At 39.2% G+C, this 22,273-nt stretch overlaps 1 protein-coding gene across 3 annotated transcripts in view; it reads left to right on the forward strand.

Annotated features, from left to right (window-relative positions):
- The window catches only part of ZNF37A (zinc finger protein 37A), a 55,957-nt gene extending 33,847 nt beyond the window's left edge, over nucleotides 1-22,110 (forward strand). For all 3 annotated transcript variants that reach the window (NM_001324257.2, NM_001324256.2, NM_001324258.2), the window contains one exon: nucleotides 18,549-22,110. In NM_001324257.2, coding sequence (NP_001311186.1) covers nucleotides 18,549-18,637 — 89 coding nt within the window. In that variant the 3' untranslated portion in view covers nucleotides 18,638-22,110. The remainder of the gene's footprint in view (nucleotides 1-18,548) is intronic.
- The last annotated feature ends 163 nt before the right edge of the window (nucleotides 22,111-22,273 follow it).

A 22,273-nucleotide genomic window follows, 5' to 3' on the forward strand; every position in this document is an offset into this window, starting at 1 on the left:
AGATTTTAATATGCACTGAGCAATAAAAGTCTAGGGGTGAGGAGGGGGTTAATATAATAGGAGGAAGGATGCACAGAGGACTTAACAGGCTTAACTAATTCATTAATTTATGTCGGGCCCTGGGGTTATGGTGTTAAGCAAAAATAGCCATATCACAATCAAATGCAGTGGGAGAAATTAAGTAATTGCACACATCTGAGCATAATCATGGCAGAGATGTATACTCAATAGAAGCAATCTCAATCTAGGAAGATTTGAGTACTCAGTCCTAGTACTTACTAGGAGTGATTGAGAATATTATACTTTCTGTCACAAATGGTTCCCTGTTAAAAAGTTTGAGTTTTATCTTTTCGATAATGAGACACCATTGAAAATTTTGGATCAGGAACTAAAATTTAAAAAGTCATTTTTTTCCATATTTCTTCCAATCATGTTTTCTTCTTTCTAAAGATTTACATTACATGATGTACACCATGACATTCTGGAATCTGAGTCAGAGACAGTAAATTGCATAAGTGCCTCTTCCATCCTGAGTTCACGTCCAGTGGGCATGAAGTGTTCTACTCTCATTCAATGAAGTTCTTTTTTGAGACAGAGTCTAGCTTTATCGCCCAGGCTGGAGTGCAGTGGCATGATCTTGGCTCACTGCAATCTCCCCCTCCCGGGTTCAAGCGATTCTCCTGCCTCAGCCTCCTGAGTAGCTGGGATTACAGGCGCCTGCCACCATGCCCAGCTAATTTTTGTATTTTTAGTAGAGATGGGATTTCACTCTGTTGGCCAGGCTGGTCTCGAACTCCTGACCTCGTGATCTGCCCACCTCGGCCTCCCAAAGTGCTGGGGTTACAAGCGTGAGCCACCGCATCTGGCCAATGAAATTCTTTACATAATGTTTCTGTGAGCACTCAGTAACTCATCCATAACAGTGTAGAAACTCAACTTACATTGTAGCTTTCTAGATAGTGGATTTTTCCTTCCCTACATTGCATTGTTCAATTTTCTAGAGTTATAATTAGGCATATTTGGTTATATTTTTTGGCTGGTAAAAAGTCAAAATAAGAGGAGGCATAGTGATCTTAAGAACTTCAGAACTCCAGCCTGGGTGACAGAGCAAGACTCTGTCTAAAAAAAAAAAAAAAAAACTATTATTTTTTATTTTTAACTTTTATTTTAGGTTCAGGGGTATATGTGCACATTTGTTTTATAGGTAAATTGTGTGTTGCAGGGCTTGGTGTACAGATGGCCACCCTCCACCTTGAGTAGTCCCTGGTGTCTGCTGTTCCCTTCTTTGTGTCCATGTGTACTCAATGTTTAGCTTTCACTTATAAGTGAGAACATGAGGCATTTAGTTTTCTGTTTCTGTGTTAAAAAACTATAACTTGGCTACTCTGCCTATGGAGTAGCCATTCTTTTTCCTTTACTTTCTCAATAAACTTGCTTTCACTTAAAAAAAGAACTGTAGCTTCAAAACATGTTTCTATGCATCTCATAAAACTGCCATTAGAGATTTCATGTATTAGGTTTATCATTTTCCACTATATTTAGGTACAATTTAAGTACTTGCCTTCAAATTTATTGCCAAAAACCCCTTATCCCAACTAACATATGTTTGTAGTTTTGGGTTTTGTTTGTTTCTAAAAATCAGTGTTCTTACTTGTTCCATCCTGATTTCAAAATTGTGAGGATGATTTACTTTGGTAAAATACACATAAACAATATCATTTAATTTATTTGTAAGTGTACAATTCAATGGCATCAAATACATTCACAATGTTATATAACCATCAATACTATCTATACCTAAAATTTTTTCACTTTCCCAACAAAAACTTGATCTACTCAACCATAATCTTTCCTTCTCTCCTCCCTGTCCCTGGTCACTTCTATTCTACTTTCTGTCCTTATGGATTTCCCTATTCCAGGTACGGCATGTAGGGAGAATCATGAGATATGTGTCGCTCTATGTCTGGATTATTTCTCTAAGCATAACATTTTCATGGCCCATCCATGTTTAGCTATATTTAAAACATTAATTTTTATGGCTGAATAATGTTCCTTTGCATGTTCATACCATGATTTGTTTACCCATTCATCTGTTCATGGGCACATGGGTGATTTGTACCTTTTGGCTATTGCGAATGATGTGCCTGTGTACAGTGATGTACATATGTCTGTTCAGATCTCTATTTTCAGGTTTTTGGATGTACACCTTACAGCAGAATTGCTGGGTTACATGGCACTTTTATGTTTAAACTTCTGAGAAAACACCACACTATTTTCTTTTCTTTCTTTTTTTTTGAGACAGAGTCTTGCTCTGTCACCCAGGCTGGAGTGCAGTGGCACGATCTCAGCTTACTGCAACCTCTGCCTTCAGAGTTTAAGTGATTCTCCTGCCTCAGCCCCCCAGGTAGCTGGGATTACAGGGGTGCACCACCATGCCCAGCTAAGTTTTGCATTTTTTTTTTTCGAAGTACAGACTGGGTTTCACCATGTTAGCTAGGCTGTTCTCGAATTCCTGTCCTCAAGTGATCCACCTGTCTCGCCCTCCCAAAGTGCTGAGATTACAGGTGTGAGGCATCATGCCTAGCCCACCACGCTATTTTCAACAGCAGCTGCACCATTTTACATTCCCATAAGCAATGCACAAGTGTTCTGACTTCACCACTTTCTTGTCACTTCATGTTATTTTCCATTTTTCGTTAGCATACACATCTTACTAAGTAGAAAGGGGTATCTAATTGTGATTGATATTTGCACTTCTCTAATGACTACTGATGTTAAGCATCTTTTCAAGTGCTTGTTTGTCATTTGTGTATATTCTTTGAGTAATGTCAAAGAATTTTCAAGTCCTTTGCTTGCTTTTAATTAGGTTATCTCTTTGATTGTGGTGGCGTTATTCATGTTCTTTATATATTTTGGATATTACTATCCTGTCAGACATATGGTTGGCAATTATTTTATCATATTCAGTAGGTTGTTGCTTTGCTTTCTTGATAGTATTCTTCGATGCAAAAAAGTTCTTAATTTTGATCAAGTCCAATTGACCAATTTTTTCATTCTGTTGTCTGTGTTTTTGGTATCATGTTCCCAAATCCAATGTCATGAGGATTTTCTCCAGTGCTTTCTTCTGAGAGCTTTATAGTTTTAGGTCTTGCCTTTAGATCATAAATCTATTTTGTATTAATTTTTGCATGTGTTGTAAGGGTCCAACTTCATTGTTTTGCAAGCAGATCTCCAGTTTTCCCGGCACTGTTTTTTGAAGACTATCATTTTTCTATTGAATGGCCTCTGCATCTTTGTCAAAAACAATTCACCATATATTTGAAGCTTTACTTCTGGGATCTCCATTGCATTGATTTATTAGTACCACAGTGTTTTAATTATTGTAGCTTTGTGGTAGGTTTCAAAGTCAGGAAGTAGGAGTACCCCAAATTTATTCATCTTTCTGAAGATTGTTTTTGCTATTTGGTGCCCTCTGTAATTTTATATGAATTTGAAAATTAGCTTTTCCTTTTCTGTTGAATTTTGTAGCTCTCTTTGGGTAGTATTGGCATCTTCACAGTGTTAAGTCTTCCTATACACAAACAGGGATGTCTGTCCATTTATTCGTTTCTTCTTTAATTTCTTTCAGCAGCATTTTATCATTTTTAGTATATAAGTTTTTAACCTCCTTAAATAAATTTATTGCAAAGTATTTAATTCTTTTTAGGTGCTATTGTAAATGGAGTCACTTCCTAATTTTCTTTTTGGATTTTTCGTCAATGGTATAGCAAACAAAATTGCTCATCTTGTACCCATAATCTTGCTGAATTTGTTTATTAGCTCTGGTGGTTTTCTTTGGATTCTTTGGAATATTCTACATATAGGTTCATGTCATCTGCAAATAGAGATATTTTTACCTCTTTCTTTCTATTTTGGATGTTTTTATTTTTCCTATCTAATAGCTCTGGCTAGAACCTCCTGTTAAATAGCAGCATAAAAAGGAGTATCCTTGCCTTGTTCTTAGTGGGAAATCTTTTTAGTTTTTCACCACTGATTATGGTGTTAGCCATGGGTCTTTCATAAATACCCTTGGTCATGTAGAGGAATTATTCCTTTATTCCTAGTTTTCTGAAAGTCTATCATGAAATAGTGTTGGAATTTTTCAAATGCCTTTTCTGTATCAACTGAAACGATCATGTATAGGTTTTTCCCCCTTTCTTCTATTAATAATATGTATTGCATTAGTTGATATATTTGTATTGAACCACCCTTGCATTGCTGGGATAAATGCTATTCACTCATAATGAATAATTCTTTTAACGGACTATTGAATTCAATTTACTAGTATTTTGTTTAAAATTTTTGCATCTATAATTGTAAGAATTTTGAGTTTCAGTACAATATTTAATAAATAAAGTAAGATAGTCAACACTTTATTATAAAATAGGCTTTGTGGTAGATGATCTTGCCCTGCTGTAGGTTAATGTAAGTGTTCTGACCATGTTTATATGGGCCAGATAAGCCATGATGTTTTGTAGATCAGGTATATCAAACTCATTTTCAACTTGTATTTTCAACTTTCTTTATGGAGATGTAACCCCATGGTAACTCAATGTGCATCTGTAGTTGGTTTACTGTATTGTTCAAGTCTTTTTTTTTTTTAACTTTTCATCTATATGATTGATCTATTTGTGACTTTAAGTAGAGCACTGAAGTCACCAGCTATTATCATAGAATTGTTTATTTCTCCCTTCCATTCTGTCAATTTTATGTCATATATTTTGAGGGTTTGTCATTAGGTGCATAAATGCTTATAACTTTAATTGCTCTATTGACTCTCTTAGTGATATAGTCTCCTTTATCTCTTTTAAACTTTAAGATTTAAAGTTTATTTTGTTTTAATATTATTATAGCCACTCAGATTTATTTTGGTTACTATTTGCATGTAATATATTTTACTATCCTTTTACTTGCAAGTTATATTTGTCTTTAGACATACAGAAAGTCTCCTGTAGATTTTGTATTGAAATTGTTGCATCATGTTTTTTAAAAATTAATTCTGCCTATTGTTCTTTGATTGGAATTGTTAATCTGTTCAGATTTAAAGTAATTACTGGTAACACAGGGCTTAATTTTGCCACTTTGTTGCTTGTTTTTTATTTTTAAATTATACTTTAAGTTCTAGGGTACATGTGCACAACATGCAGGTTTGTTACATATGTATACATGTGCCATGTTGGTGTGCTGCACCCATTGACTCATCATATACACTAGGTATATCTCCTAATGCTATCCATCCCCCCTCCCCCCACCCCATGACAGGCCCCAATGTGTGATGTTCCCCACCCTGTGTCCAAGTGTTCTCATTGTTCAATTCCCACCTATAAGTGAGAACATGCAGTGTTTGGTTTTCTGTCCTTGTGATAGTTTGCTCAGAATGATGGTTTCCACTTTCATCCATGTCCCTACAAAGGACATGAACTCATCCTTTTTTATGGCTGCATATACTCCATGGTGTATATGTGCCACATTTTCTTAACCCAGTCTATCATTGATGGATATTTGGGTTGGTTCCAAGTCTTTGCTATTGTGAATAGTGCCGCAATAAACATACATGTGCGTGTGTTTTTATAGCAGCATGATTTATAGTCCTTTGGGTATATACCCAGTAATGGGATGGTTGGGTCAAATGGTATTTCTAGTTCCAGATCCTTGAGGAATTGCCACACTATCTTCCACAATGGTTGAACTAGGTACACCAATCAGACGTAGATTTGGTCTTTTCACATAGTCCCGTATTTCTTGGAGGCTTTGTTCATTTGTTTTTACTCTTTTTTCCCTAAACTTCTCTTCTTGCTTCATTTCAATCATTTGATCTTCAATCACTGATACCCTTTCTTCCACTTGATCGAATTGGCTACTGAAGCTTGTGCATGCATCACATAGTTCTCGTGCCATGGTTTTCAGCTCCATCAGATCATTTAAGGTCTTCTCTTTGCTGTTTATTCTAGTTAGCCATTCGTCCAATCTTCTTTCAAAGTTTTTAGCTTCTTTGCAATGGGCTCGAACATCCTCCTTTAGCTCAGAGAAGTTTGTTATTACCGATCGTCTGAAGCCTTCTTCTCTCAACTCATCAAAGTCATTCTCTGTCCAGCTTTGTTCTGTTGCTGGCGAGGAGCTGTGTTCCTTTGAAGGAGAAGAGGTTCTCTAATTTTTAGAATTTTTACCTTTTCTGCTCTGGTTTCTCCCCATCTTTGTGGTTTTATCTACCTTTGGTCTTTGATGATGGTGACATACAGATGGCGTTTTGGTGTGGATGTCCTTTCTGTTTGCTAGTTTTCCTTCTAACAGTCAGGACCCTCAGCTGCAGGTCTGTTGGAGTTTGCTGGAGGTCCACTCCAGACTCTGTTTGCCTGGGTATCACCAGCGGAGGCTGCAGAATAGCAAATATTACAGAATGGCAAATGTTATTGCCTGATCCTTCCTCTGGAAGCTTTGTCTAAGAGGGGCACCTGGCCGTATGAGGTGTCAGTCGGCCCCTACTGGGAGGTGCCTCCCAGTTAGGCCACTCAGGGGTCAGGGACCCACTTGAGGAGGCAGTCTGACCATTCTCAGATCTCAAACTCTGTGCTGGGAGGACCACTACTGTCTTCGAAGCTGTCAGACAGGGACATTTTTAAGTCTGCAGAAGTTTCCACTGCCTTTTGTTCCTGTTGCTTGTTTTTGATATGCGTTATAAGTTTTTGTTCCTTACTTCCTTCATTACTGCCTTTTTACATAATTTTTTGTTATGAAACTTTTGATTCTTATCTCACTTACTTATACGTATATTCTTTAGATATCTACTTGGTAGTTACTATAGGGATTACATCTAGCATCCTAAAGTTATAACAATATAATTTGAATGGATACCACTTAAATAGCATACAAAAACTGTTTCTTGGCTGGGTGCAGTGGCTCATGCCTATAATCCCAGCACTTTGGGAGGCCAAGGCAGGTGGATCATGAGATCAAGAGATTGAGACCATCTTGGCCAACATTGTGAAACCCCGTCTCTACTAAAAATACAAAAATTAACTAGGCGTGGTGGTGCACACCTGTAGTCCCAGCTACTCAGGAGGCTGAGGCAGGAGAATCGCCTGAAACTGGGAGGCGGAGGTTGCAGTGAGCTGAGATCATGCCACTTGCACTTCAGCCTGGTGACAGAGTGAGACTCCGTCTCAAAAAAACAAAACAAAACTGTTTTTCTACAATTTCATCCTACTTTCTGTTGTTAATGCTACAGACTGCATCTTTATTCATTGTGTGCTTAATAATATAGATTACTAATTATTTTTACACATTTGTCTTTTAAATTCTATAGAAAATAGAAAGTTAGATTACAAACCAAAATCAGAAAACAAAATTATTCTTTATAATTGTCCATGTATTAGTCTGTTCTCAAATTGCTATTAAGGAAGTATCTGACACTGGGTATTTAAAAAGAAAAGAGGTTTAATTGACTCAACAGTTCTGCATGGCTGAGGAGGCCTCAGAAAACTTAAAATCATGACAGAAGGCACCTCCTCACAGGCGGCAGGGGAGAGAATGACATCCAGCAGGGGAAATGTTAGAAGTTTATAAAACCATCAAATCTTGTGAGAAATCACTCTCACAAGAACAGCATGGGGAAAACCACCCTCATGATTCAATTACCTCCCACCAGTCCCTCTCACAACACATGGGGATCATGGGGATTACAATTCAAGATGAGATTTGGGTGGAGACACAGCCAAACCATATCAGAGGCTTCAGTTACTGTCTAACTTTCTTTCATTTTAACCTGAAGGAATCTCTTTAGCATATATTGCAGGGCAGGTCTATGGAAAAATGAACCCCTTTAGCTTTAAAAACTTTTTTTGAGAGTGTCTTCATTTATATCTCATTCATGAGGTAAAATAGTTTTTCTGAATATAAAATCATCAAGTAAAAATTTTTCAAAGCATTTTTTTCTTTTTGAGATGGAGTTTCACTCTTTGTCACCCAGCCTGGAGTGCAATGGTGCCATCTTTGCTCACTGCAACCTCTGCCTCCTGGATTCAACAGATTTGCCTTCCTCAGCCTCTGGAGTAGCTGGGATTATAGGCACCTGCCACCACGCCTGGCTAATTTTTTTGCATTTTTAGTAGGAACAGGGTTTCATGGTTTCACCATGTTGGCCACACTGGTCTCTAACACCTGACTTCAGGCGATCCACCCACCTCGGCCTCCCAAAGTGCTGGGATTACAGGTGTGAGCCACCATACCCAGCCTCAAAGCATTTTAAATATATTCAGACACTAACTTCTGGCCTCTAAGGTTTCTCATGAGGAATTGGCTGATAATATCACTGATGGTTTGTTGTATGCGATGAGTCACTTCACTTTTGTTGCTTTCAATATTCTCTGTCTTTTAATATTTTGATTATAATGTATCATAGTATGAGTATTATTGAGTTTATCCTGTTTGGGGTTTGTTGAGCATCTTTGACTTGTAGATTCATCTTTTTGCATAAAATTTGGGAAGTTTTTAGGCATTATTTATTCAAATATTCTTTTTGCCCCAGTCTGTCTTCTCCTACTGGGATTCTCATGCTACATATGTTTGTTTGTTTGATGGTATCTCACATATTCCCTAGGCTCTCTTCAGTTTTTATCACTTTTTTCCTTTCTTTTCCTCAGAGTCAGTAATTTCAATGGTTCTTTCTTCAAGTGTATTTATTTATTTTTTGGCTTGCTTAAATCTGCTCTTAAACCCCTCTAGAGTATTTTCAGTTATTGTACTTTTCATTTCTAGAATTTCTTGGCTTTTATAATTTTATATCCTTTTTTGAATAAACATTTTTTCAGACATCATTTTCCTGTTTCGTCCATGTCTTCCTTAGCTCTTTGAATACATTTAGGACAGTTGTTTAAAAGTCTTTTTCTAGCAGTAAGTCTGACATACTCATCCAGGCTTCCTTGGGTTTTGATTTATTTGGCTCCTTTAAGTGGATTATACTTTCCCCTTTTTTATGCCTTCTTTGTTGTTTTTGTTGTTGACTGGACTCTGAACCTTATAATGCAGAAACTGGAAAGCAGATATTCCCTCTTCCTCCAGGGCTTGTTGGGCTTTAAAAAATGTTTTATGGTGTTCCTTATTGGAGATCAGCCTGAGGTAAAAACTTAAGGTCTTATTCAGGTCATTACTGGGCCTTTGTCTTTCCCTAGGCAGGTATGTTGGCTTTCTAAATTCTCTCACATATGCAATTACTTTTTAGTCTCCAAAAACAGGTGTATCCCTTTTGAATCCCTTGGTGGCTACTTCAGTTTATGGAGGTTGGATAACTGGTGACCAGCCTACATGCCCACACCACATTTATCAGAGAAGCACTCCATAATTAGAACACAGAGCCCTGGTGTTTGGAAGGCCAGGTCTTTATTGTCTACCCTGGCTCCAGCAAGACCTTTCACCCTTGAATGTGGGTTATGGACCCCAATGCCACATGACATGAGACTATAGAGACTGTGGTTGGGGGATGGTAGTTGCAACCCTGCTCGTGGCTTAAATAAAGCAAAGATTACCATAATGTACCAGCCAAGCTGTCCCCTGGAAGCTGCAAGTGTTCAAAATAAACTACGGAGGTTTAAAATGTTTGCCTCAGCCAATTTCTTCCAATATAATTGTGCAGATAGAGATGGATTTTTGGTATTTTGTACTTTGCCATTTGTCTTGACTTCATTCTCCTAAGGATCAGTTTTAATAGTGAAGCATAATTACTCTTTGAAGCATGTTAGTTTTCCTGTATTGGAAGTCCTAATTTGTTCCTCTTTTGTTAAATTTAAAATGTGTATGACTCATTATATTGGCATCCTGAAATAAATAACTCTTTGTAATCCAGACATTTTGATTAATCAGAAAATTACACTAACATCCTAGTCAATTAAATGTCTATGCAGCACTGTGGTCCCACTTTGCAGAGTGACTATAATTGCCTTGCTTTGCCATTAGTAATTGTTCTAGAGTGTGAAATAATTGTAAGTGTATGAAAGCTCTTGTAGAGAGAACTTCACCTAGGCTTGTGGCATTCACTATTAAAGCAATGAGTGCCTTCTGGGGACAGTCAGCTCAACTGACTTCAAATTTTTGCAGAGTGTCATCACAAACACTAAGTATAGATTTCAGTTTGAAAAACTTTAAATTTACCTTTTATTGCAGTGTTTGGTGGTATAAATGCAGCTAAAAGCATGAGTTAACAAAGTGAGATTTAGAAAGGAAATGTCATTGACTGCCTGAGCTATGTACTTCATGGAATATGTTTTTGTAATAAAGCCCCTAGAAAATCGGGAAACTTATGAAACAAGCTTTACATATGTATATGCATACATATATGTTTAAAACTTATATTGGACTAAGGTTAGAATACTTAGTGAGGTCTAAAATGACAAATGGGGTGTGAGAATGTAAGCAAAGTAAACAAGGACTGTCAGTTCTTAATTTATTAGCAGCACATGCTCACCAGGAACCCGTTGTCTTAAAGCCAATCCCCTGAGAACAAACAGCATTGAGTCTGAAATTCAAATTTCCCAGAATGGAAAATGATGAGCCCTAGAATTTTAGAGTCTTGTCATTAAATTTGCAAAGTTCAGTTACACCACAGCCCAGCTACTTACCAAGTGCCTTATTACTCTTCTCTTTGGGCCTACTTAACCCAACTAAAGAATCAGGGAGTCAGACTAAATATCCATAAAGGTCCTCCTAAAGACACATCCTCTGGTTCATTTTGAATATCTAACTTAACATTCTGTCCCTGCAGGTGTTCTTTTTTATAGCATCATTTTAGAGCTGTAGCCTATCTGCAGAGGAAGAGCTACAGGCAGGTTTGGAGTGCATGAGTTCATTACAAATACCGTGTTTTATAAATTGATGCCAGTGTTCTTGACCTGTCTTGTGAACAACTGGGACCTTATTTCCTGTGTCACTCTCTCCCCTTTGCATCTTAACACTTTCAGCTAGTCTTAGAGGTTTCCATTGAGTTCTGAGGACAGACTTTCAGAATCCTCATTCTCTTGCTTCCTTTCCTCCAGAGATATTTCTGTTCATTATTGTCCTTATTATGTGTTTTTTTTTTCTGATTATGAGGCAACTAAAATCATCTGATTATTGATCACTGTGTTGAACCTCTAACTGTATTTCTTCAATGGTTTGATATATTTTTCCTTTTTTTGAGATGAATTCTCATTCTGTTGCCAGGCTGGAGTGCAGTGGCATGATCTCAGCTCACTGCAACCTCCGCCTCCTGGGTTCAAGTGATTCTCCTGCCTCAGCCTCCTGAGTAGCTGGGACTACAGGAACGTGCCACCATGCCCAGCTAATTTTTGTATTTTTAGTAGAGACGATGTTTCACCATGTTGGCCAGGATGGTCTGGATCTCTTGACCTCATGATCTGCCCACCTCGGCCTCCCAAAATGCTGGGATTATAGGTGTACACCACCGCACCCAGCTGACATATTTTTCATAGTTAATATTGCTAGTCAGTATGAGTTTTTAAATGTGCATATTTCGTTTACTATTTTTCTTCCTTCAAGCCTCTGAAAATATTGATGGTGTCTCAAAATTAATAATTTATTGATTGAAAAAATTCCATTGATCTATTCATATTTATTTATAACGTACCAAATCTAGTGCAATAAGTAGTCCCAGGAATTTGGTTCCCATTTGGGAGTTATACTTGAATTTCATTTATAAACCCAATTTCTCTCCTCTGGCACATGTATTCATAATCATCTTAGCATGCTTTTAGTTGTTACAGATGAGGTAACTGCAGTTTGATGTTTACTCTACACTCTTTTTCACCTGCAAATGTTAGCTAGAGCTGCGTGGTCCTATAAGTTTGCTGTACCCTTGATAAAAGAACTTACATTTTATAATCATTGCTATGGCTGTACTGGATCGTGGATCCATAACTCTACAGGTTTGTCAAACACTACCAAATGCTACACCACAAACACTGATCTTTATTCTTTGCTTATTAAAACAAGCAACCAACCAGGTTAATGTATTCCAAGAGGAAAAAGAAATTGACCAAACTAACTTTGGAAAATGGTAATTTGACTGCATAAGGTTTACACAAACTGAGCTGTGTGTAAACACGGTATCTAGTTGGTAATTTTATCACAGGGACAAAAGTTAATTCTGACATTACTTTTCATTTTCATTTACACTAGGCTAGAGAAAATGAATAAGTTGTAGAGAATGTGAGCTAGATTCCTCACTGTTACAGAAGGAAGTTATAAGTTAGAAAGGGTACAAGACTAGAAAAAATCCTGTGGTGCCAGATTAGAGTTAAAAATATCAATATATACGCAGATAGATATGTAGATAAGATAGACTCACAGAGAGATGGTAGTTAGGCAGATAGATAGATAGACAGATACATATACATAGAGATTGATAGATGATGTATATACATGGGTTAGGACACACTATTGCTTGTTCTGTCTGCTAAGAGATACATGCATCCCGTAAGCAATGAGCATAAATCTTGGTTTCTAAATAACATTCTCCAATATAATGATTCAGATCTCTGGAGCAATGTTTGCTTCTAGGACTGGGGCAGTGAAAACATAAGATGATCCTGGAGCATCCTGATGTGCCAGCAGGCCAGAAAGTGCTCAAAACACAAGGATGTGGCATGCGTCGTAATCCAAAGTAAAATATAAAGAGACGTGAGTCCATACTATGCAAATACATTGTTAATTAAATGAATGAGAAGGAAGAGACTAATCTTTCCCATGGAAGAATTTCAAATAATTTATGTAGAAAACATGAGGGCAAAGAAAATCACCATTAGAACACTATAGTGATAGTGGCTGTTGGCAAGATCCAATGAGGGACCCATATTAGTGGGTGAAACTTGAGGAGGAAACAGGGTATTTGCAAAGCCTGAAAGTATCTTTAACCGAATATTTACTAATTACCATGGTTGTTTTAATATACACTCACAAATATATTGTTATTTCTGCCTTAAAGAGGTGGAGTTTAATTTTCCTCTCCTTAAGTGTGGGCTGGATTTAGTGACTCAATTTTAACATATAGAGGATGGAAGGGAAAAATAACCTCGCAGAGGAGCAACCTGGCAGACACAAGCTAAACCGAGTGATTGCGGTTCATGTCACCAGTGATGCCTTATCCCCATAGGATGTGATGAAAAGGCCACCTCACCTCTGCAACATTCTTCCCTCAAATCCATAATCCTAGTCTAGTCAGACAAACATAAACCAAGGGAACTCCACACATATCCAACTGGTTTTCAGCAAAAGTGCCAAGGTCATGAAAAACAGAAAAGATTGAGACACTGTCACAGAGTCAAAGACACTAACACATCATGATGAGCAAACATGGCACAGTACCCTGTATTGGATCCTGGAACCAATAATAATAATAGAAAAGTGGCAAAATCCAAATGAATTGTATAGTCTACTTATAGTATTATACCAATGTTAATTCTTCTTAGTGTTGTTAAATATATTATAGTTACATGAGATGTTAACCTTAGGGGAAGTTAAAGGCATATTGAAACCATCCACACTATCTCTGGAACTCTTCTCAAAATCTAAAATTACTTCAAAATAAAAATTTTTTAAATCAGGAAAGAGGCTAAAGCGGGCTGGGTGTGGTGGCTCATGCCTGTAATCCCAGCACTTTGGGAGGTGGAGGTGGGCAGATCACTCTAGCCCAGGAGTTTGAGACCAGCCTGGCCAATGTAGTGAAGCCCTGTCTCTACTAAAAATACAAAAAGTAACCGGGCATAGTGGTGAGTGCCTATAATCCCAGCTACTTTGGAGGGTGAGGCCGGAGAATTGCTTGAACCCAGGAGGTGGAGGTTGCAGTGAGCTGAGGTTGCGCCACTACACTCCAGCCTGGGTGAGAGAAAAATAAAAGAGGCTAAAGCATCAAAAGGGGGAGCAGGGAAGCAGGGCTCTCTTTTGTCTTAATAAGGAAGTCTGAGAAGTTCTGGCACCATTGTCATATGTTTCTAGCAGAGCAGAATGCCAGGGCTGGGCCATGTCTGGGGAACAGCCTCAGGATAGAGTAGACAGCATATAAGGGAACTGAGGCCAGACCCCAGGAAGAACAAAAAATATATATTTATGCAGAGAGAACAATATAAACAAGCTTCTACTGCTCTGATGATAAATGTGAGATGATTCACAGGACACTAATTCATATCTACTCTTACCATCAGAAAATATAAACACTATTAAAACAAAATGTTTACATAGATCCAAGCTTATATTGTGAAAATAGAACTTCTCATTGTTCTCTACATGGGGGTGTGTACAACACTGGTGGACCCCGCAAGCTTGCTCAGGTACAACTCAGGTACAGGATCATTTGGGAACCCTGAGCATGGCCCCTGAGCCAATGTATAACATGATTGGTCAGGCTGGTTCTGCCTTGAATAACACAGATTCCACTTTAGCTGAGAGAAGGTAATATTTTTTTAAATTCCATTTTGGTTTATCTACACTGTTTTAGAATGTATGGGTTTCTCTAGATCCTCTGTTACTTCAGGTGTGACATTTTATGCACGTCACTTGTTGCAGCCCACTGGTGTCCACATTCTGCCATGTGATGTGGAGGATCCTCACCTCCATGTAGGCCCATTTCTCCTTCTCACTTTACAACATAATTTACATGCATGAAGAACTATATCAGACCATGGAGTAATTTTTGCTTCAATCATCAAACACAGTTTAGAAAAACTCAAGAAGGCCAGTCTGTCGTGTTTATCCATGTTTTTATTATTTCTATTTTTCTTCATTCCTGATGTTATGTTTCCTTATTTTATCATTTTGTTTCTGAATTAAGAACTTCCATTAGCCACACCTTTAAGAAGGTTGCTGTGTCCTTCCTTGAGTCCCAGGTCCCCCTGGCAGCCCACAGTGTGGATCTGGGATACACAGGGTGAGCACAGGCTGTAGGAGTTCTTGAAATTCTGGCAGGGGTTCTGCACTTGACCTAAGAGGTAAGGCACCAGCACTTCTGAAACCAGACAGAATTGGATGGAAGCTGTATTTTAAGGTGATTGTCTGTATTTATGAGGATTAATCTTTTGGATAATCTGGAAGGCCTGGGGGACTCACTGGAAAGATATGGTAATAATTTCAATAAATATTTAAGGGCTATACCAAGTTGAGGCTGGTAGGACCAGGGAGAAGCAGCTGCATGCTACATATTGAGATCATCTAAAGACAGCAAATTGATGTTTTACATGAGGTTGATTTTGAAGAGTAAGGAGGCATATCTGGTCCCCAGTCTCATCTCTGGAAAGAACTGCACCAGACCCAATCCACCCTAATTACCTGTTCTCTCCTGATTGTGAAGTCTATGAAAAGAAACACATAGGTCATTTTCAGAAAATGAAGACATGGTGTTAGTAGCAAAATCTCACTGTGGTGTGAATGAGCATTTATGAACTGTCAGGAAGGAGCCCTTCATTGCTCTGTTGTCAAGAATGGCAGACACTAAGAGCTCAGCCAGGGCTTTGACTTAAGCTCCATGTGAATAACCTTGGCCTATGCTCCCTGGACATGCAGTTCACTGTCCGCAGAGTGTGGCCAGTTTGTCTGATGGGAGGAATCACATGCACTGTGAGTCACCCCTTGCAGCAAGAAGTCCACAAACAGGACTTTTTCCTGGCAATAGTAAGTGAGGTCAGCTGGGGTGTGGAGCTGCCCAAGACTGGCTGCACACTCCAGGGATGGGAGTTTTAGTGCCCTGGAGGGAGCCTCCACCTGTGACTGCTTTAGCACTGCCCTGAGAACCATGGTCCACATGGCGCCTGTGAGCAGAGATGGGGGAAAGAGGAGACATCACTGGGCTGCAGAGGTCAACAGGGTTGTGGAAGTGTCTTTTATTGCAATTAAGTTTTCTAGTCATGAAACCTCTTCGAGGTATAGAATCAGCTCTGAAATTCTCAAAGTGTTTTGATCATAGTATTTAAGGATTTATTTTTTTAACTGAGATTTACATTACTATGTATTTGCAGTAATGTTTTTGTTAAAAGTTGTATCGTAATGTATTTAGCCAGAACTTAGTGTCTGTGAGAAAGAAAAGATACTAGAACTTCTTACTACCTTCTAAGATATAAAGTTTAAAATTATATAATGTAACCAGTGACTTCCCTGTTTTAAAAAATCACATACTCAAAAAAATAAACTTACTGTCTGTATATTTTTGTTTTAATCAGTATATACTTATACATGGGTACATTAATTTCTCTCACAGTCAAATACAATTATAAAATATATATTTTGGAATAATATGACCCACAGATTCATGATGCAATATAGTATGAATTAATTCTTTTTTATTATAGTTGTCTAATGCTGTGTCAGCTTCTCAACAAGGGGTCAAGCCCACAAAGACCCAATGAATACACATGGCTTGAGTGTCCAGTGGAGCCCACGTGGGTGGCACCCCTTGACAACTGAATGTCTGCTGACCTAATTTCTGAAATATTTCTGCACATCAATTACCTATGTCTGCTTGGATGAAGTTGAAAAAATTCAATAATCTCATAATAGAATCTTGAATTCTTTAATGTTCCCAGCAGTGAACCCAATGCCATGGGTGTGGTTTAAACCACCCCCATGGTTTAAACTAAGTCTCGTATGCAGCACTACCCAGCTGCATACAAAACTCAAGAATCAGAGGTAAGAAGGTGGCTGGAAGTCATCCGGATTCTACAACATATATAGTGCTGGGTCAGTTAAGCTCTAAAACAATGCATTTAGTAAAATGATGGATTTATATAGGAATTTTCCAAATGGGAGGTGAGGGAAATAGCATATGGAGATTTGACAGCAGATACATTGAAAGTTAAAAAGAAAGGCAGAAATGCAAATCCCTTCTCACTCCTTCACACCTGGGGCAGTTTTGAACGGCTTGGATGCTAAACATACAGGAGACAAATTCAACAGCCTTATTGATTTTCACACGCTCCCCATTTTCCGAAACAAAATGAACAACAATAAAAGCGGATCCAGGGAAAAAAAGGATCAGAATGCCACAAATTCTACGGAGGCTATGGAAATAGTTTTGACTCACACTGCCTGTGACTATTATAATAAAATCAGTCACTAATATAATTTGAAATTTAGGAAAGAAACAAATTGTCTTGATAGGGTGTCTAGCTCACTGTACCTACTAAGAGAGGCTGTGAGTGCTCCGAGAGTAATTTGAATTCCACATGTGTCATTTCCCTTTAATAATTTTCTTGCCAGGCATTTTATACTTTAAAATATGTGTGGGAAATTTCTAACAATGGACCTGTTATTATTTTTTCACATTATCTCTACATTTTTCATATTATCTATACATTCTCACTAGGGGTCTTTTCTATCAAATGAAAGGATATAAAGAAACTTCTCAGGCACCATTTTCACCCTTTGGTTCATGGGTCACTGCGCAGCGGAAAACAATGGATGTGCCTATACAGTTCATATTGGCTGGGGGCTCAGTCACTGTGGCAGATTTACTGTGGTAAAAACTAATACCAGAAATGTTCCTCAAGAAAACAGAAAGGACCAGCTGAGTGAGACTATATCTATAAAACTGTTTTTCTCAAGAGGAGACTAAAGACTGTGAGCTGGGCGAGTGGTGGCTTATGCCTCTAATCCCAGCAATTTGGGAGGCTGAGGCGGGCAGATCACCTGAAGTCAGGGGCTCGAGACCAGCCTGGTCAACTATGGTGAAAGCCCATCTCTGCTAAAAGTACAAAAATTAGCCAGGCGTGGTGGTGGGCACCTGTAATCCCATCTACTCAGGAGGCTGAGGCAGGAGAATCACTTGAACCTGGGAAGCAGAGATTACAGTGAGCCAAGATCATACCATTGCACTCCAGCCTGGGCAACAGAGTGAGATTCTGTCTCAAACAAAAAGAAAGAAACAAAATAGCTTGTGAGATACTTTTCTTTCATTGAAATCACTGCCTCTTATCTTGGCATAATTTGAACAACCCAAGCAGGGAGAAGACAGAGCCAGGCACATTTCCCTGCGACTTAACAACATTTCCAGGCACATTTCCCTGAGACTTAACAAGGGTGTTTTATTTATTTATTTATTGGAGACGGAGTTTCGCTCTTGTTGCCCAGGCTGGAGTACAGTGGCACAATCTCAGCGCACCACATCAGCCTCCCAAAGTGCTGGGATTACAGGTGTGACCACCATGCCCAACCCACAACAGGCGTTTTAATAGTTTATGAGGCCATTGATAAACAGCTAGATTGGACTTAGGGATAAATTAATTAAGCCCTCATATTTTATTGGTGAAAAGACAGATCCCGAGAGACAATGACAAAGATACTTGATTTCTACTGTTGGGTTGATCCTGGAACAATCTGGGCCTGAACTGTGCAGGTCTACTTTCAGGGGATTTTTAAAAATAAATGCAGTAGATCCATATAGGCAGTTTCCACATTTGAAACCAAATGTGGCAAGAAAATACAGTATTGGCCAGGTTCCAGGCCTACATGCACAGAGGGTCAACTTTTCCTACCCACAGGCTCCACAAGGCTGACTTCAGGACCTGGGCCTGCATGGATTTGTGCCGAGACCAGCTCGGTCGTGGAGACTCCAACCGAGCGGCACTAGAGGAATGAAGACAAAGACAAAGACACAGAAATAAAGTGCAAAGTGGGAATCGGGGATAACAGCCTTCAGAGATGAGAGCCACAAACAGAGTTTGACCCACATGTTTATTGACAGCAAGCCAGTGATAAGCATTGTTTCTATAGGTTATAGATTAGCTAAAAGCATTCCTTACGGGAAACAAAGCATTTTTAGCGAGGAGCAGAGAAACAGTCTCTGGCTGATTATCTGCAGCAAAAACATGTTGTTAAGGCACAGGCTGCTCATGCTATTTGTGGTTTGAGCAGTTTTCCGCTCTGGGAAGGCCAGGTGTTCCTTGCCCTGCTCCAGTAAACCAACAACTTCTTGCAGTGTGTGTCATAGCCATCACGAGCATGTCACATTGCTGCAGAAATCCTCTTTATGGCCAGTTTCTTTAAGGCCTGTTTATGACAGGCTTAGGGCCTGTTCCCAGCAAATTTGGGTGTCCAAAGTGGGTCCTGGAACTAATCCTCTGGATACCAAGGGACGACTGTGTTTAAACCATCGTTTGGGTTTGGAGAGATTAATGACAACAGTGGCTAAGCATGGGAAGGGTTTCTATGGTGGGACTGCATTGGACCACCTCTGAATGTGTGTATTAGCAGTTTAGTAAATAAAACAAATCTAAATTATTATTTGATTGGGGTTAGTGGGATGCAAATAATAAGATTTATTCAGAGTATCCTAAAAATTCCCCCAGTTTTATTTAGTTTTGTGGAATTATGTCCTCTTTCTAATTTTGCAACATTTCCTTGCATGTTAAAACATTCTTCCCTGAACCCACAATGAGTCTTTTACAACACATCTCTGATACAAGAAAAAAGATATTTCAATGAAAAACAGAGCTTGCTTTTGTACATAAGCTAAAAACAAACAAAACAAACCCAGAAGCATAGCTGCTCTGCTCATTCCCTTCTACCCAAGAGAAAAAAAGAAAATAAAGACACCATCAAGGAAACTGATGCCACAGGAAATCTTTTATTCATCATTTGGAAATTTATCACCAGCACACTGAGGACAATAGGCCTTTCTCTCAGTTGCTTGTAGATAATTCACATCTTTGTCAAAAGACTCTCCTTCAAAAAATGTGGAAAATTGATTTCGATGAGTTAAGGAAATACAAGTCATGAGGAATGGAGAAGAAAATAACACATAGATAATCTGTCATGTCACATTTTATGTCTAGATATTGAGGGTATCAAGGAGATGCATGCCTGGTGATGAATAAAGACAAACAGCTGATCTTGGAGGCATGGAATTGGGACTTGGAACTGCACCCTGCCCCCAGCTCCTATTCTCTTCTGTTATTGAACATCTGGAGAGACAGGCATATTGGCATCCTTGGTTTATCTACACTAAACCTCTTGCATACAGATGAGCAAACTGAGATCTAGAAAAATGAACTGGCCCAAATTTACAGAATTAGGTGACTTTGTCACATGAGTGGGTGAAGAGTCTCAAAGATTAGTGAAGTCTAGAAGATTGTAGGAGAGTCATCAACTAAGTTATGCAAACTGTCCAATCCCCTCCCAGATTTCACATGGAGAATTTCATGGGAACAGAGCCAAATGAAGAGAGTTGGGTACACAGACGAGGGCTGGTGTGGCCATTGAGATGCCTGAGCATTTACCAGGGGATTTTTATTTTTAAAGGAAATATCTGCAGCATCTTACCAAACACTCTGCCCAGGATCTCAGAGGCTCTGAGAACACTAAGCTCTGCCTGTGTTCCTACATTATGAAAAACCAAGAGGGATGTAGCCCTTGTGCTTGTGTTTTACTGAGAGGGAGGCTCATGGCCCCATCCAGACAACCTTAACACCCCGCCTTTGATCCCAGAGGCTGATGGAGAATGTCTTAGCCAGCTGCAGCCCTAGGTATGGTTCTAACACATGGAGGCTCCTCTGAGAAATCTACAGGGCTTCATTATGGCCATCAATAGGTCTGCTTGTCTTGCCACATTTCTGGGACTTTGCAATTTTTTTAATGGTTTGCTTTAATATTCTTTTTTTTTTTTTTAAATGGAGTCTTGCTCTGTCACCCAGGTTGGAGTGCAGTGGTACAATCCTGGCTCACCACAGCCTCTGCCTCCCAGGTTCAAGCAATTCTCTTGCCTCAGCCTCCTCAGTAGCTGGGATTACAGGCACTTACCACCACAACTGGCTAATTTTTGTACTTTTAGTAGAGACGGGGTTTCACCATGTTGGCCAGGCTGATCTTGAGCTCCTGACCTCAAGTGATCCACCCTTCTTCACCTCCCAAAGTGCTGGAATTACAGATGTGAGCCACCACACCAAGCCATATTTGCTTCAATATTCTAACACAAAATGATAGCTTAACCTATTATCCAATATTCCCACTTCTCAATAGGATGCAACTGCTATGCTTTCTTTGAAATAATTATTTTTGAAAATATTATTTCAAAGTGTAGTCCTCCTAGACAGTGCTAATTCTATTGGGATTTTAAAGGATTACACAAAATAGCCATCACATTTCACTTAATGTGCCCTATGTAATGCAGAACCCAGCCTGCTACAGCCACTTGGGAGGCTCTCGCCCACTGTCTCCTCCAGGCTCTCTCACATGCATCAAGGCTATGATCAAATGGGACATTCTCACTCCATCCCCTCCTAACCCCCAATTCAGATTGTAGCCCACCCCTCAGCAGTCCCTATCCGCTTTTCTTCATTTTGTTCCATAACTTTTGACACCTTCCAACATTCTACAGTTGTGCTTTTTTTTTTTTTTTTTTTTTGAGAGAGAGTCTAGCTCTGTCGCCCAGGCCAGAGAGCAGTGGCATGATCTTGGCTCACTGCAAGCTCCGCCTCCTGGGTTCACACCATTCTCCTGCCTCAGCCTCCCGAGTAAATGGGACTACAGGTGCATGCTACGACACCTGGCTAGTTTTTTTGTATTTTTAGTAGCGACGGGGTTTCACCATGTTAGCCAGGATGATCTCAATCTCCTGACCTCGTGATCCGCCCGCCTTGGTCTCCCAAAGTGCTGGGATTACAGGCGTGAGCCACCGCACATGCCCGGTTTTGCTAATTTCTTTAGTGAACTATTTGCTCTTCTGCACAAAATTGTAAGTTCCACGGGGATAGAATTTTTTTTATGGCTTTATTCTTTGCGTTATGTCCAGTGCCTAGAAAAGTACCTGGTAAGTGTTGTGAAGTATTTCCTGAATAGAGGTTGAATGTTGTGATAAGTTTCACTGTGACTCCTCATCTTGTACCTGCACTTGCAAGTTTCTTCTTGTCTGCCTGGGGCGTTGCGCTCAGCACCTTCAGCCCCCACCACTCAAGGTTCCTGTCTGCATGAGTGTAATCACCATCGAGTGTCAACAGCACCATCCCTTTCCCCACTCTCATTCAGAAGCTCCTCATCTGCTCTGGGATGGGACAAACTCACTCTTGTGTCATCATTCTGCCAAGTTTATTAAAACTCAAAATGTGAGTGTCTGCTCTTTTCTTTCTCTTTGTCCTTTTGTTAAAACTTCCCCTTTGAAAGAGGAGATGCCAAGGTTTAGACTAAATGGGAGAGAAATAGTGGGCAACTGGAGAACAAGGGAGGAAAACCACATTGGTTAATCTATCAAATCATTACATTTCTATATGAT

The sequence above is a fragment of the Homo sapiens genome, chromosome 10 (genome assembly GCF_000001405.40).
Source record: "Homo sapiens chromosome 10, GRCh38.p14 Primary Assembly".
In the NCBI taxonomy this organism is placed as follows: domain Eukaryota; kingdom Metazoa; phylum Chordata; class Mammalia; order Primates; family Hominidae; genus Homo; species Homo sapiens.